This window comes from Homo sapiens, chromosome 21 (assembly GCF_000001405.40).
Source record: "Homo sapiens chromosome 21, GRCh38.p14 Primary Assembly".
In the NCBI taxonomy this organism is placed as follows: domain Eukaryota; kingdom Metazoa; phylum Chordata; class Mammalia; order Primates; family Hominidae; genus Homo; species Homo sapiens.
In genome coordinates this window covers 26,072,610-26,088,226 of record NC_000021.9, presented here as the reverse complement: position 1 = coordinate 26,088,226, position 15,617 = coordinate 26,072,610, and the positions used below count along the sequence as shown (strand labels likewise).

Sequence of the window (15,617 nt, the reverse complement as noted above, 5' to 3'; positions counted from 1 at the left end):
TTTGAACCCCAGGTCTATTTTATCCTATCTGTTGATCACTTCCTTTGCCCCTGCTCTTCAAGCCTCCTCATCTCTGAAAAGCTCTCCTTCCACTGGGTGTGGTGGCTCAAGCCTATAATCCCAGCACTGTAAGAGGCCGAGGTGGGAAGATTGCTTGAGCCCAGCAGTTAGAGACCAGCCTGGGCAACATAATGAGACCCCGTCTCTTAAAAAAACAAAAACAAACAAAAAAACCTCCAAGTGAACGAACAGTACAACAAGTAATAAAGGATATAAAAGATGTTCTCAGATCTCAATATCAAGTCAGAAGATTTTATAATAATATTATAATTACACGGAGACTGTCCAAATATTTGTATTTGTTGTGCTACACTGCATTATGCACCATTTAGGGAAACAACAGCCTAAGTAATGTGGTTTTAAATAATTAATCTCATCTACCAAATACCTGTTTGATAGTAAAGTTAATGACCTGTCCTCACCTTATGTTTTTAACCATTATGGAAAGAGAACCACTTGAAAATATATCATTCCACTGACAGATAATTACCCAGCTGTGAAGCACAGGCTGGAGACTGGCAAGGAGAAATGGAGAGAAGCCTATAAAATAATTCTTTCTCAGGGAAGGAGTTTATTCCTGCCAAGGCTTTGCCATCAACCATTATCAGATTTCTCTTTCATCCTCCGAACAGATTCTGGGCTCCTTTGATGTGGAGGTACATAATTCAAAAAGTTGGGTCACTTGTGACATGTTAAGCAAATTTCTCAGTTCTGGTTGTGTCTGATGTGAAATGAGCACGTTGACACTAACTGTTCTTGACTACTATGGGACTAGATAATCATTTGCTATTTCCTGTAGGTACTTGGCGTGTTGAATCATTTTACCATATTTTCTCATTTTATGAATCACTGGTCCTTTTCCATTGGACCTGAAATTAGACCCTAATATGACAAGTAGAGCATATGTTGTCTCTTACTTTGTTATTAACCTTAGATTAGAATTAAGGAATATAGGTGCTGCTTTTTTCTTAGGTAGTGGCAAATTTTCCAAAGGTCTCAAGCCCAGAGTATAATACAGAGTTGATAAAATAACCTGGTAGAGTATGTAGAGCATGCCTTGTCTTTCAGGAAAAGGAACTGAAAAACATAGGTTTTCCAATAGGTGTAACATAGGTAACATAGGGACATAGGTGTAACTGATGTACATTTTACTTGCACTTAATAGACAGGCAGTGTTAGTTCTTCGTCTCTCTTCACAGGCTATACAACTACCAAGATCCAGAGAGGTTGAATTTCTTGCTATAACTCACAGCAAATAAATGGGAGAGTCAGCACTACAGTCCAAGCTCTCTTGATTATTGGTCCAGTGTTTTTTACAGTATACACAAAAATTTGTTTTAAAACAAATATTCACTATGAATTAGAGACAATAGCACTAAAAAAGAAACTCACAGCTATCGTTGTGTTGACAGAGGAGACAACCATGACCTAGTATAGGATAAATCTCCATGTGATATGTTTTCTACTTTATAGTAGTAGTAGGTAACATTCTTACATATTATTCCTGCTTAACAAAGAATTACTGTTCAGCATTAACATAAGTATGCTCTAAAATCTCTTGACTGTATCCAAATATATGTTTTAGACAAGAGTTTTTTTTTTTTACTGACCTAGCAAACAAAATAAAATTATCTTAAACATTAAGCGTGTTAAAATTCAAAACAAAGCTTGAAGAGAGAAAAATGCTTGTTATGTGTGGCATACAACCTTCCTAACCTCTTTATCAGATGAAGGATCCAGTGTGGCACTGGATTATTTTTCTGTAATATTTTGCCTCGGACATATGTGCTATACATTTCTTGTCTGCATGGGGAAAGTATGTCAGGTTGCTGTTGCCACTTTCTTCCCATGGAGTGGATAATTTCCCTTGAGAATAAGTTGGCTTTCTCATCTCACCCTTTGCTTTTGGTAGTACCTCTGGAACCAGAGGGTAAGATTCATCTTAATCATGTGAACATTTTATTAATTATCTCATGTGTGATTCAAGCACATCATTACTGTTACTCAAGGAGAATATTTTCTTTGCAAAGCTTTCAACCCTTTCCATTTGAATGACTGCTCTTCATGGTGTAATAGATCCACTGTTGAAATTGGCACTTTTCTGTACTTGTCTCTGACCAGCAAAGGCAAGGAACATTGCGTAAAATAAATTACTGTTGAATTATTGGGGCAAAGTCAGGTTAATAGCTTAATCCAAAAAAGGAATTACAAGTGAAAGAATTTTACCTTAAATGTCATTCTGTTTCATTTTGTAATTAAGACCTTCCAAATGTGTAAGTAGTAATGACCAGAAATCTTATCAGATATGGTCAAATGAGAAAGGTATTCAATTCATATTAATTTTGAATTTTATTGTTTTAATACAATTTTAGGAAAAGCATGCCTTGTTTTCTGGGTTTCTTGGCTGCCTTTGTATCAATTATCTACAGCTATCTTCTTTAGCATGGAAAGGATGTATTTGAATACTGTGACATTTTATACCAGGGTAATTCTTTGAATTTATGTAAACAACAACTCTCTTGAGACACATCAGTACAACACAATAGTCAGAAATGTCACATGAGAGTTCACCAAACTTTAAAGATGGCGATGAGGATGGAAAAACATTTTTATTGTAGACTTTAAGGATCTTGTAAATCCCCGTATGTAATCCAGTGTGCTAGAGAATTGGTGCCCATGGCGCCTCCTCTCCCCACCGACCTGCACTGTGGAAATCCTACTAATTTTGAAGTCATGGGAGATGCATGTGTGGGACCTATACATGCACTGTGATGAGAATGATGACTTCATCATTCTCATTATTTAATGAGCCCAGCTGCTGCATACAAGAAGGATGCAAATTCTTGAATGTTCTTGATTGTTTACATCATGGTCTCATAAGGAATGACCAGAATTGCTGGGCATTTCTTCATCAGGAAAGGCTAATCAGCCATCCTTGGAGAGACATCAGACTCCTTTATATGTGGCCTTCCCATGGGACCTTTGAATGGTCAACGTTAATCATGCTTCAGAACCAGCATACTAAGTAAAAGAAAACATGTCCGGAAAAGAAATCTTATCAGTGTTTATCTCCCAACAGTGGGATTACAGGTGATTTTGATTTTATTTAAGCAATTTTCTATGACTTTGTATAATAAATGAGTAGCTTTTATAATCAGCAAAAGATAGACTATGAAATCAGTACATATAATTTTGTATTTGTATGTAGTACCATTGAAGGATAATAGAAAAAAGTCAAAAGACTTGAAAGTCGACACAGAATGATCATTAATTTGTTTTATCTCTTGGTAGTTGTACTTTATGAGCTTTATACATACAGTATGGGAAAATACACTTTAGTTTTGAAAACACCATGATGCCAAAATAAAAGAAAATAACGTTCATTCATACGATCTTCAACAAAATTTAAGCAGCATTAATCATCACTGATTCTTCAGGAAGATTCTTGATCTTCCTTAATTTTTTTTCCCTCCAAAATTGCATATGGCAGCCACATTTGTTTCAGGCCAGAAGGAAGAATGGGAAGAGCTTACATTTATCTCACAGATTCCTTCTGGGTGAGGAAGACTTAGAAAGTGAAGCCCTCTTCCATTTGATTAAGCAAGAACACCTATAAAAATGGTGTCTTCGGCCGGGCGCGGTGCTCACGCCTGTAATCCCAGAACTTCGGGAGGCCGAGATGGGCGGATCGCAAGGTCAGGAGATTGAGACTGTCTTGGCTAACAACGGTGAAACCCCGTCTCTACTAAAAATACAAAAAAATTAGCCAGGCGTGGTGCGGGCGCCTGTAATCCCAGCTACTCGGGAGGCTGAGGCAGGAGAATGGCGTGAACCCGGGAGGCGGAGCTTGCCGTGAGCCGAGATCGCGCCACTGCGCTCCAGCCTGGGGGACAGAGCGAGACTCAGTCTCAAAAAAAAAAAAAAAAAAAAAAAAAAAAATGGAGCCCTTCTAGGTAGGTCATCCTCCATGGCTCACTGCAGCACTTCCTTGGCCCTGTCCCAAGTTCCATAATTGCCTCAATTGCATTGGCTCCTGCTTGATTTGCTTTCTAAAACTCAGGACAGAGGATGAGTTGAGGAGACTGACTTTTTTAACAATCGCATTTTGAAAAGAAGGAAGCGTAGTGGTGTTTCTTGGCTCCGTTTCCAGTTTTGTTTCTTTTCATTTTAATTATTGTACCTGGTATTGTGTCCTCTTTCTGGGACTTTTAACAACTAATGTTTTGATTGATAAGAGCTCTAATAGCATGGGTGATTTATACTTCATTACATCTTCAGTTTTGTCTTCTTTACTGGAGTTGTATTCAGGTGTCATTAAGTAACGAGGCATTAAAAAGAAACGATAACTTTTGAAAAACTGCTGTTATGGCTTATGAGTGGGCTTTGCTGATATTTTCTTGAAGCACAGAATTTATCTATCTCTGTAGGTCCTAGATGATAGGTGAGAAAAAGAAACCCAGCTTATTTGGCATGATATTGTCCCAAGGCTTGTTAGTAATTGCTTTGAAAAATGAATAGCAAGGCTAATGGACATCTGATTTGTAGTACATGCTAAGAATTGCAAATGTGTGCTCAAAAGAAATTTCTCTGATTACAAAAGTAACATATATTCAACGTACAAAGTTGAGAAAATACAACCACTAGCTAAAAATAATCAAAACCATTTGGCTTCCTTGCAGTCTACATTTTTTTCATGTATGTTTTGCTTTTGTTTTTAGTGTTATTTAATCGTTTCCTGTTTTGTGACTTGCTTTTTACACCTAACATTTTTAGAATACTCTACCTGTGAAATTAAATATTCTTGGAGAGCATAATTTTTAATGTAGCATCACACCAGACACTGTAATGTGTTTACTCTTTTTTATGGTCATTTAGGTGGTTTTCTTTATTTTGTGGTGGTGTAATAGTTGTTATAAATGATGCTGTGATAAACATCCTGGTAGATAAATTTGTGTTTAGTTGATTTTTATATAACAGTTATTGGCGGAATGCCTTGCAAATCTTATAGTTGGTGTAATAAAATATATGCGCCACATAATTGTTTATGAAAATATGGAGGAAAATTTTAATACTGATTTATGATCCTGAGTTTAACATAAGCATGGATACCCCTACATTTAGCTATGATTTTTTTATTGATAGAGTAAAAGCGCCTGTAATTTCTACTTAAGGCCATTTAAAATAATTACTATTTAAATCTATTTAAACAATTTTAAATATTGCTTTTCCAAATTTCCACCTTAGGAAGTAGTTAATTGAATATTCTCAGAGAAATAAGTCCTACAAAATTGACCAATAAAAGGTCAGTTACGTATTCATTGTGTACGTTTTATTGATCACCCACAGTGTGTGAGCCCCTGGAGGTGGGTGAAATGTGGGCCTCCCTCTTACAGAGTTGATAGTGGGCCTGAAGGGGATGGGATTTCAGCTCAGGAATTTAAGGAAGACTTGACAGGAAGTAGCATTGTGAGCCAAGATTTCAAGGATAAGATTTCAAGGCAAGAAAGGAGATGTATTTTAGGTATTCAGACAGAGGGTCAACAAAGTCTTTAAGGTAGGAACTAGTTCACTTTTCAAAAAGAAGAGGTAATTGGTCATGATAAGAGTAGTAGTTTTTAAAAATCATTACTGTTTTCATTCATTTATAATGAATACTATTATTTTATAATTTTAAAGTTTATATCCAAATAATTGTTTTCAAGATGGTAATGAATGTATATTGCTTTTATGTATACACATAGTACTTTTTGCTTTTTGGTAACTAAGTTTATAATTTTTGAGGGCAGGAAATATTTTTGTTTTTCACTTACAAAGAAACTATATTTTAATAAGAGTTTTTTGACAGCAGTGCTTTATGCCAAAGGAAAATAAAGCAACATTTAACATATCAAAGAAAGCCAATGCAAAACAAGGATTATTTATTTATTTATTTATTTTATTCATTTTTGAGATGGAGTTTCACTCTTGTTGCCCCGGCTGGAGTGCAATGGCGTGATCTCGGCTCACTGCAACCTCCACTTCCTGGGATCAAGCGATTCTCCTGCCTCGGCCTCCTGAGTAGCTGGGATTACTGGCACCCGCCACCACGCCCAGCTAATTTTTTGTCTTTTTAGTAGAGATGGGGTTTCATCATGTTGGCCAGGTTGGTCTCAAACTCCTGACCTCAGGTGATCCACCCATCTTGGCCTCCCAAAGTCCTGGGATTACAGACATGAGCCATCATGCCCAGCCAAAACAAGGATTTTATATTCAATCAAACTGACATTCAGATATGATCACATGAAATAAATATCAACGTACAATAACTCAGGGCATATTTTCACATTATTTTCCTGTAGAATCTGCTAGAGAACAAGTTTCAGATACCCAAAATACCTAGAGAAAAACTGATATAAGGATGGGTAATGAGCATTAAGGAGAAACATAAAAACTAAGACTCAACGATGGTAAAAAGTATGATAATATAGTATTCCACAGCTACATGCTGTGACAATAAAGAGATTCTGTAACTGTCAGGCCTCTGAGCCCAAGCTAAACCATCCCCTGTGACCTGCACGTATTCGCCCAGATGGCCCGAAGCAAGTGAAGAATCACAAAAGAAGTGAAAATGGCCTGTTCCTGCCTTAACTGATGACATTCCACCACAAAAGAAGTGAAAATGGCCGGTCCTTGCCTTAAGTGATGACATTATCTTGTGAAATTCCTTCTTCTGGCTCATCCTGGCTCAAAAACTCCCCCACTGAGCACCCTGTGACCCCCACCCCTGCCCCCCAGAGAACAACCCCCTTTGACTGCAATTTTCCTTTACCTACCCGAATCTTACAAAATGGCCCTACCCCATCTCCCTTTCCTGACTCTTTTTCGGACTCAGCCTGCCTGCACCCAGGTGAAATAAACAGCCTTGTTGTGACAGTAACTTTAATGGGGAAGAATGAGAAGAAGATGTGGGTAAAGAAACAACTGTTTTTCTATTAATGGTGGTAGTATTAGTGTGTAATTCTGAGCCTGGTGCATAAGTAATATGGTGTAACATAAGTGAATAGTTGTGTGATATTTTAATTCAATCATCCCATGTATTTGAGAATCAGAATTTTGATGTGGTAAAAGAAGATTCACATGTAACATATAATCTATTAAAAAGATACCCTGTAGTCATGAGTTTGACTTTTAGGTATCATTTCTCAGTATAACATATTGTTGTAGATTTCAGATAACATTTTTTCCCCATAAATACTGTCCGCTGCAGGCCTAAAAATAATGAAAAGGCCTAAAAGACCAACTCAGTAGCGGTAAACACCAGTACTGCACCTAGATTATGGTCTTTAGGAACCATTTTCCAGTAAAAGATACCAGTAATCTTTGGAAAGCAGGATTTTTTTTTCTTTTTTTTTTTTTTTGAGATAGAGTCTAGCTTCGTCGCCCAGGCTGGAGTGCAGTGGTGCGATCTTGGCTCACTGCAACCTCTGCCTCCTGAGTTCAAGCCATTCTCTGCCTCAGCCTACCGAGTAGCTGGGATTACAGGTGCCTGCCACCACTACTGGCTAATTTTTTTTTGTATTTTTAGTAGAGACGGAATTTGACCACCTTGGCCAGTCTGGTCTTGAACTCCTGACCTCGTGATCCACCCGCCTCAGCCTCCCAAAGTACTGAGATTACAGGCATGAGCCACCACAACCCGGCGGAAAGCAGGAAATTTTTTAAAAGCTATTTTAATTCAGTCATGTAAAAAAAATGAGCAGAAAGAAACAAAAAACTTAAAAAAAAACTTAAAAAATGAGCAGAATCTTAGGAATCACCTGCGACTTTGGTTATTCATGCTTAGCCATTTCTATAGGAAATTCCAGCACTATTTGAGTTAGACCACTAATTATATGTGTGTTGTAGCTTTCTCCAAGAGATAATGGAATTCACAAATCAAAACTTTGAGATTATTAAGTGTTACAAGTGAATTATAACCCCAGTCATTTGCTTTCAAATGAACAGCTAAACATATTTTGTGTTAATTTCTTATGGATGCTGCTTTGTTTGTTTGTTTGTTTATTGAGACGGAATTTCACTCCTGTCACCTAGGCTGAAGTGCAATGGTGAGATCTCGGCTCACTGCAACCTCTGCCTCCCGGGTTCAAGTGATTCTCCTGCCTCAGCCTCCCGAGTAGCTGGGATTACAGGCGTGCACCACCACACCTAGCAGATTTTTGTATTTTTAATAGAGACAGGGTTTCACCATGTTGGCCAGGCTGGTTTCGAACTTCTGACCTCAGGTGATCCACCCACCTTGGTCTCCCAAAATGCTGGGATTACAGGCGTGAGCCACCATTCCCGGCCTAGATAGGCTTTTAGTTGGTTTCCATATACAGTGTATATAGGGAGAAACAGACTAAGACAGACACTGGCATCCACAGAAGTAAAAATAAAAAGTAAGGTATAATTTAAATTTCACACGGTCATGGTCACATTTTTCAGCTTTTTGCACCTATGTTGTATAAAAAAGACAAAAATGCCTTTAGAGGCTCAAGTTTTCAGGACTTCCTGAAGCTGTGTCATAGTTTAAAAATGCCATAAAAATGCCGTCAGATTTAATAACGTATCAGCTGAACACTGGATTTCTGTTATGTTGAGTCTTCAAAAATTTCTCCCTGTATGAGGAATTAATACTGTTATGTCTGATCTGGTGGTCTGAAATGTGAACTTTTCTGGGCCAACCAGTAAACAGCTGCTGTTGCTTTATAGCTGCGTAATTCAGTCTTGGAAATTATTAGATAATTCCCACACCATTTCAGCTTGCTGTTTTACCATAAATTTAATGTGAACAGTATTTCTAGCTAACCTCAAGCTGTGTTTATTGTCGTGGAATTTTCTCTTTTATTCTGAGGTAAATGATTACAAATGGTTATGATGAGGAATCAAAGAAGAAAGTGGACTTTCTTCAAAGTTCTTTTTCTACTCTAGCCGCTTCTGAGCATCTTTCTCAAGCACTGTGTTTCCATCAGTCCCTACCCCAAGCAGAGAAAGGAAACAGTTTTCCCCTTTGTCTTCAGAACCCTCTTCTCATCGTGTCATTTTCCAAAGCAAATAAAAATCTTGAGATATTGTCTTGAGTTTGATTTTTTTTTTTTTTTTTTGAGATGGAGTTTCACTCTTTGTTGCCCAGGCTGGAGTGCAATGGCACAATCTCAGCTCACCCCAACCTCCGCCTCCTGGGTTCAAGTGATTCTCCTGCCTAAGCCTGCCAAGTAGCTGGGATTACAGGCATGTGCCACCATGCCCAGCTATTTTTCTGTTTTTAGTAGAGACGGGGTTTCTCCGTGTTGGTCAGGCTGGTCTCGAGCTCCCGACCTCAGGTGATCCGCGCCTCGGCCTCCCAAAGTGCTGGGATTACAGGCGTGAGCCACCACACCCTGCCGAGTTTGATGTTTTTTTTAACCATTCAAGCCAGTAAATAACTTTCCAGACAGCTGTAGTAGAAAACAGAATTTGTGTGTGACAAAACTTAAGATTTTGGGATTGAGAGCTCTATGGTTTATGCCATGTGGATAATTGTAGCCAGATGAAGAATATGAAATTTAAGGAAGTGTTTAGAGTGGTACAGACAGCTATTATTACGATTCTTGGGGTAGAAGAGTAGCTTACATACAACATAAAATAATGGCATTAACTGAATTAACTTCAGCCTTTGCCATGAAACCCAAGCTTTCATTATGTTTTAAATAATGAACTACATTAAAAATAGTATATAAATATGTAAAATATATTAGACATAGACTTCTCATAATAAATTATGGGAACTTTTGATGTATTTCTTCCCTAGGAAAAGAACTAAACAAGTGCTTCTTTGTGGACTTAAAATTTTTCAGTTTACTATTGTGAATTAGGTACAGCATATCTTTATAATTCCAGATAATACCCATAAAAGCAGAACTGTTTATTTACTTATTATGAAGGGAATACTGAAATGAAATTAAGGACAATTTTTTTCTCACGTATTATATTTTTAAAAAGTTATTTGATGTTTGTGATTAAATAAAGAATGAATTTTTAAAGCCAGTTCTCAATTAGCACTGAGGAAAAGAATATGCTTTTTTTCAGGTACACAAATAAGCATCATGGATATAAGAAACGACATAAAGATGAATCTACAGTCTGGATTAAGACGTATTTTAATTTCAGTGTCAAAGGCTGTTAGGAAATATTCAGATTTTAGTACTTGACAAAGAAGGTTCTCAATATTTGTTTCAGTGTTCAGTGAAAGGATAAATTCTGTCGTCTTTCTCTTTTATCATATTAGTCACTGAGTGGTTTCATTAAACATTCCCTCTTCCATATCCCCTGATAAATTTCAACTTGTTGGTGATGCATCCCAGGAGTGTCTGTCTTTTTTTTTTTTTTTTTTTCCTTCTCCTGTCAGTGAGTCTTAGGCTTTGGCTTTGAAACCCTATAGTGAAGGGAAATCTCAGGCAACAGCTGTGCAACCGTCTGGAGAGCAGCTAGTCCAGATTGGAGGAGACGAACGAGGCTGGTCGCAGGAGAGAGGCCTCCAGGAAAAAATGGCATTGATGCATTACCTGCGTTAAAGATTTTCCTGTACTTAGCATGCTTCTTAGGGTTCTACTGGAGCGTTTGGGAAAGATACAGTATTGATGGATGCATAGAAAATGAGGCAAATTTTTTAAATGGGGCAAATATTAACTGTAGACAAAGAAAAGCCAAAAGTACAAAATAACAGCGTTGTAAGATACGAAGATAAAAATACGCCTAAGTATGAGCGTTCTGGCAGACTCACAATACAGATGCCATATATGGGGTAAAACCATACCAGTAGGATGGTGGGAAGGGAAAGGGGTGGGCTCATGTTCCATAGTGGGAAGACCTACAGCGGAAAAATCAGGAGAATAGTTATTTAAGCACAGAGTTTAGGGAGTAAGTTGCAGAAGAGACAACTAAATGAGATGGCCGTGAATGATTTTTATGACCTCCTCTTGTTATGGAGAAATCGATCAAGGAGGCCTATATTTGATGGCAGGAAGAAGTTGAGTTTAAGGTTTCCAGACATTTGTTTTAATCTGGAAAATTTCTTTTTTTCTTTCTTTCTTTTTTTTTTTTTTTTGAGACAGAGTCTCACTCTGTCGCCCAGGCTGGAGCGCAGTGGCGCAGTCTTGGCTCATCGCAGCCTCCGCCTCCTGGGTTCACGCCATTCTCCTGTCTCAGCCTCTTGAGTAGCTGGGACTACAGGCGCCCACAACCACGCCCGGCTAATTTTTTGTATTTTTAGTGGAGACTGGGTTTCATCGTGTTAGCCAGGATGGTCTCCATCTCCTGATCTCGTGATCCGCCCACCTCGGCCTCCCAAAGTGCCGGGATTACAGGCGTGAGCCACTGCGCCCAGCCTAAAATTTCTTTTAAGCTTAGAAGTTGCAAGTCAAGTTACTGTTAAAGGCGTCCTAACTTTGAATTAGATAAAGCTAAACTGTGGTTTAATTGAGCTGAGTTTGTTGTATGCTATATCTCAACTTCACAAGATGTTTGCTTTTTCTTGGCTATAACCTAAGATTATACAAATATAAAATTACCTTTATGCCCATTTGATAGACTTTAGGGCTGAATTTCCCTGTGTAAGATGTTGTAGAGGTTTGTACTTGTGATTGTTTTTACTCTAGAAGCATGTTTATCTTCACTCCTTTAGTGACACGTGTTTGTTCAGGAACTTCAAACTCAATGTGATCAAAACTAGACTCATGTTCCCTGAATAGTCTCTCCTGACTACAAATCTGTTGGAAACTTCCAATCCTAATTAATAATTGTAAACTTTTTAATGTAAGTCATATGAGGGGTTGTTGTGAGCATAGGAGGTAGGGAGATGGTAGTGTGAGCTGGAGCATATGGTAAAAGTTGTTTGAAAGAAAGTAGACCCATGATGTGGATCCTGAGGGATACGTAAAGAAAATGAAGAGGTGTAGATTTAAAAATGTTTATGGGGCCTGGGCGTGGTAGCTCACACCTGTAATCCCAGCACTTTGGGAGGCCGAGGTGGGCAGATCACCTGAGGTTAGGAGTTGGAGACCAGCCTGGCCAACATAGTGAAACCCCGTCTCTACTAAAAGTACAAAAATTAGCCAGGCATGGTGATGGGCGCCTGTAATCCCAGCTACTCAGGAGGCTGAGGCAGGAGAATCACTTGAAACCGGGAAGCGGAGATTGCAGTGAGCCGAGATCGCGCCACTGCACGCCAGCCTGGATGACAAGAGCGAAACTCCGTCTCAAAAAAAATTAAACAATAAATAAATAAATATATTCATGGGGATGTTCCAGGGAAAGTAGTTTGTGTTGGTAGCCTTGAGAAATAATAATAGAAAATTAGAATAGAACTAAGTTGGTTCATTAAAGTTGGAACACTTGTAGAGATTTTTGATTTGGACAGACATTAATTCATTTGATTATTTCTCTTATTCGATGTCCAGAAAAATATCTGTACATTCAATGTGGTTTTATTTGTACTGCACATGTCATTAATAGGCTAAAGTTACCTCTAAGATACCTGCTTTCTTAGTCCTTGTTACGCTGTAAATTCTGGGCATCAGGATATAGCTTTTTATTATGTTAGCTCTTTTAATAGATGATACAATTGGATTGGGGAAAAAACTGATTATACTCTGGAGTAATACTTTCATAGCCTGTAGTATCCTGCAAATAGCTCCTGGTCATCTTCGAATTTTACTAGCAAACTTGTAGGGTAATAGGTTGGGACAAAGTATTATAATCAGTGGCTTTGAGGGCCTGATAAGAGGAAACAATAATTGTGCAGCTATATTGTGAATAAGTAGTGCATGATGCTGATGGTTAACCCTTTCCTGCGGTGCTCAAACATTGGGAAATAATTGCTTTTTGTTCAAAATGTAAGCTCTTCGATAATTGAGACTTTTGTCAATTCACTGAAATATTCCCAGAGCTTGAACATGTCTGGTACATAGTACATATTTAATAAATATATAGATTTAATGAATGAATTGAGGATGTAGCCAAATATTGGAAAAGGAAAGGGAAAAGAAAGAATAGCCCAAACATTAGAAAGACAGAAGATGTGGAGCAGCAATTTCACATGCCTAAAAGAATTTCTGAGATTATGGCAAAATCATTTACTTTACTTACTCCTTATTGATCAACAAAGGAAGAGCAGGTTTTATGTAACAACCAAGAAGTAACATAGGGATCTCAGAAGAGAAGAAACCAAGTGTCTTTGGATCTTAATAAAAAGAACATTCAACTCCAGAAATAGGGTTAAACCTATCCTACACATGTCTAGTAAAAAGTCAGTGTATCAGAGGCATCTGTGTTTAGAGATAAAACATACCATTAGATTCATTTATAATAGTTTCATTGTCCTTAGTTTTTAAGGCTAATGATAAAGATTTTTTTTTTTTTGTGAGACACAGTCTCTCTGTCACCCAGGCTGGAGTGCAGTGACGCAATCTCTGCTCACTGCAACCTCCGCCTCCCGGGTTCAAGCGATTCTCTTGCCTCAGCCACCCAAGTAGCTAGGACTACAGGCACACGCCATCATGCCTGGCTAATTTTTGTATTTTTAGTAGAGAGGGGGTTTCACCATGTTGCCCACGATGGTCTCGATCTCCTGACCTCAACAGATCTGCCCGCCTCGGCCTAGTGCTGGAATTACAGGCGTGAGCCACCACGCCTGGCCTTAAGAATTAATTTTCACAGAAATCTGCTTCTAAATATTATTCAGTGATAATAGATTTTAGAAATTTCAGATTCTTATGTTGTACCTTAAAGGTTAGGATACTATTTATAAATGCTAAACATGAACTCCTGTCATCCTATTTTAATGTCTTTATTAAGTGATTACATGAATGTGGCGTTTCAGTAGGTGTTTGGTGTATTAATAGATGTAGGTACTCCCCTCTTAAACCTTTAAGTATTTTCATGCCATGAAAAATTTGGGGGGCATTCTCTTTATTTATTGATTAGGTACCTGTATTTTCAAGAATATTACTCAGCTTCAGTTCCCCCAAATCTTTTTTAGTGTTAACTACCTTCCGAGAACGTGGTATAACATTTTAAAATATATTTTTTGAAGGTTTGGATGTCACTGAAGATCCCCCTATTTATTGGATGGTATCTTTATCAGCTGGGAAGATAATTAGTTTCCCAATGTTGCTATATTTTTATGAATAGGTCCTGTAGCTCTTGCTTTCTTGAAAGCTTAGAATTGATTGTAAGCCATGGACTAATGATATTCTCCAAGCATATTTAACATGAATAGGCTCATGTTCAGTATGTCAAGAAGTTACCCTGTTGTACTATTTAAATAATTTGAGCTTAGTTTTCTTTTTCCACCTTTGTTCTAAATTCTTAGGTGAGTCTGAATTCCTGGGCATCTGTGCACACAGCTTCTTCAGTAGGTCCTTTACTCTCATTGTATCTGATCTTTGACTTCATAAAGACCCTTGGCCTACTGACCCTGTATTTAATTTCACATCTCAATAGTATTTAGCCTTCTCATATTTTTCCTCTTCTTTAGAGCTCCCTGATCCCTCACTCCAGTCATTCAACTCTGTGTATTCCTTTAACTTCCACCCTCGCTCTGTCTCTTCACAGATATGCTTCTTTATATGGTAGTCAGAAGTTCCTGTGTGATCTTCGTAACCTCCAGTTCCCTCCACAGTCACCTGTTATCAGGCATCTGTTCCTTGAGCTCCAGGGAATGAGCTCTTTGCTATCATTCTGGTTGTCGGACTCACTGGGCACTGTTGTGTCCTCCACAGTCTCTCAGTGGCATCGGTTGATGGGTGCATTCTCCCCACACTGATGTCATTCTGCTGCTTCTGATTTTCTTTCTGCTGTCCTCCATTTTCCTTTCAGGCTCCCTTCCCCGTCCTCCCCGCGCCACCTTTTGCAATATTTAGGATTCAGAAATTCCAAATATTGCAAAATATTTAGAATCAGAATTCAGAAATTCTAAATATCAGTGTTTAATAGGAGTACCCTGGGGTTGTCCATTTTCTCACACAACACATACTTGCTAGGAGATCTCATAAGTGCAGTGGTTTTTCAGAGGCCTGCATTGATGATTCCTGAGTCATTATGTCCAGGCCAGGCCTCATACATACTATTTACTGGTTCTCTTTCTGCGGGTGCTCCACCAAGAATTCAGACTCAATGGAATATTTCTTCTAAGATGTACACCAGTTCCTTATCAAAAAATGGCAAATTCAGACTTCTTAGGTTAAACAGAGAACTCGTGAACATGGCATATGTCTGTTATTCCATTTTTCTCTGTTGGCTTATTGCTGAGTACCATTTGGGATAAAAATCTGTTTCAGGCAAAGGATAGGATTGTTTTCAGCTTTTATTAAATTCTCCTAGACCCTTGATTTTATGCAGAGAACTAATTAAATTTGAATGAATTTAATGTAGAAACCCTGCTATTGATGCAGAAATCAACCTGATTCTGGACTAGCACCAGAATCAACTATTTTTGTTGTTTTTGCTTTCTTTTTTTTTGCTTTTGCTTTCTCTGCCGGTAAATAACAACTAGTATGTAA

At 38.1% G+C, this 15,617-nt stretch overlaps 1 protein-coding gene across 11 annotated transcripts in view, besides 5 other annotated features; it reads left to right on the top strand.

Moving 5' to 3' along the window:
• The window catches only part of APP (amyloid beta precursor protein), a 290,579-nt gene that overhangs the window by 82,902 nt on the left and 192,060 nt on the right, over window positions 1-15,617 (top strand). The window lies entirely within an intron of this gene.
• Window positions 3,924-4,461: an enhancer, noted in NCBI's record as "H3K27ac-H3K4me1 hESC enhancer chr21:27456082-27456619 (GRCh37/hg19 assembly coordinates)". NCBI's record gives its function as "activates a minimal SCP1, AML or CMV promoter by ChIP-STARR-seq in primed H9 embryonic stem cells {active_cell/tissue: H9 hESC(primed)}" and the evidence as "EXISTENCE:reporter gene assay evidence [ECO:0000049][PMID:30033119]".
• Window positions 5,233-6,098: an enhancer, noted in NCBI's record as "OCT4-NANOG-H3K27ac hESC enhancer chr21:27454445-27455310 (GRCh37/hg19 assembly coordinates)". NCBI's record gives its function as "activates a minimal SCP1, AML or CMV promoter by ChIP-STARR-seq in primed H9 embryonic stem cells {active_cell/tissue: H9 hESC(primed)}" and the evidence as "EXISTENCE:reporter gene assay evidence [ECO:0000049][PMID:30033119]".
• Window positions 6,099-6,966: an enhancer, noted in NCBI's record as "OCT4-NANOG-H3K27ac hESC enhancer chr21:27453577-27454444 (GRCh37/hg19 assembly coordinates)". NCBI's record gives its function as "activates a minimal SCP1, AML or CMV promoter by ChIP-STARR-seq in naive and primed H9 embryonic stem cells {active_cell/tissue: H9 hESC(naive and primed)}" and the evidence as "EXISTENCE:reporter gene assay evidence [ECO:0000049][PMID:30033119]".
• Window positions 6,967-7,832: an enhancer, noted in NCBI's record as "NANOG-H3K27ac hESC enhancer chr21:27452711-27453576 (GRCh37/hg19 assembly coordinates)". NCBI's record gives its function as "activates a minimal SCP1, AML or CMV promoter by ChIP-STARR-seq in naive H9 embryonic stem cells {active_cell/tissue: H9 hESC(naive)}" and the evidence as "EXISTENCE:reporter gene assay evidence [ECO:0000049][PMID:30033119]".
• Window positions 8,870-9,395: an enhancer, noted in NCBI's record as "H3K27ac-H3K4me1 hESC enhancer chr21:27451148-27451673 (GRCh37/hg19 assembly coordinates)". NCBI's record gives its function as "activates a minimal SCP1, AML or CMV promoter by ChIP-STARR-seq in naive H9 embryonic stem cells {active_cell/tissue: H9 hESC(naive)}" and the evidence as "EXISTENCE:reporter gene assay evidence [ECO:0000049][PMID:30033119]".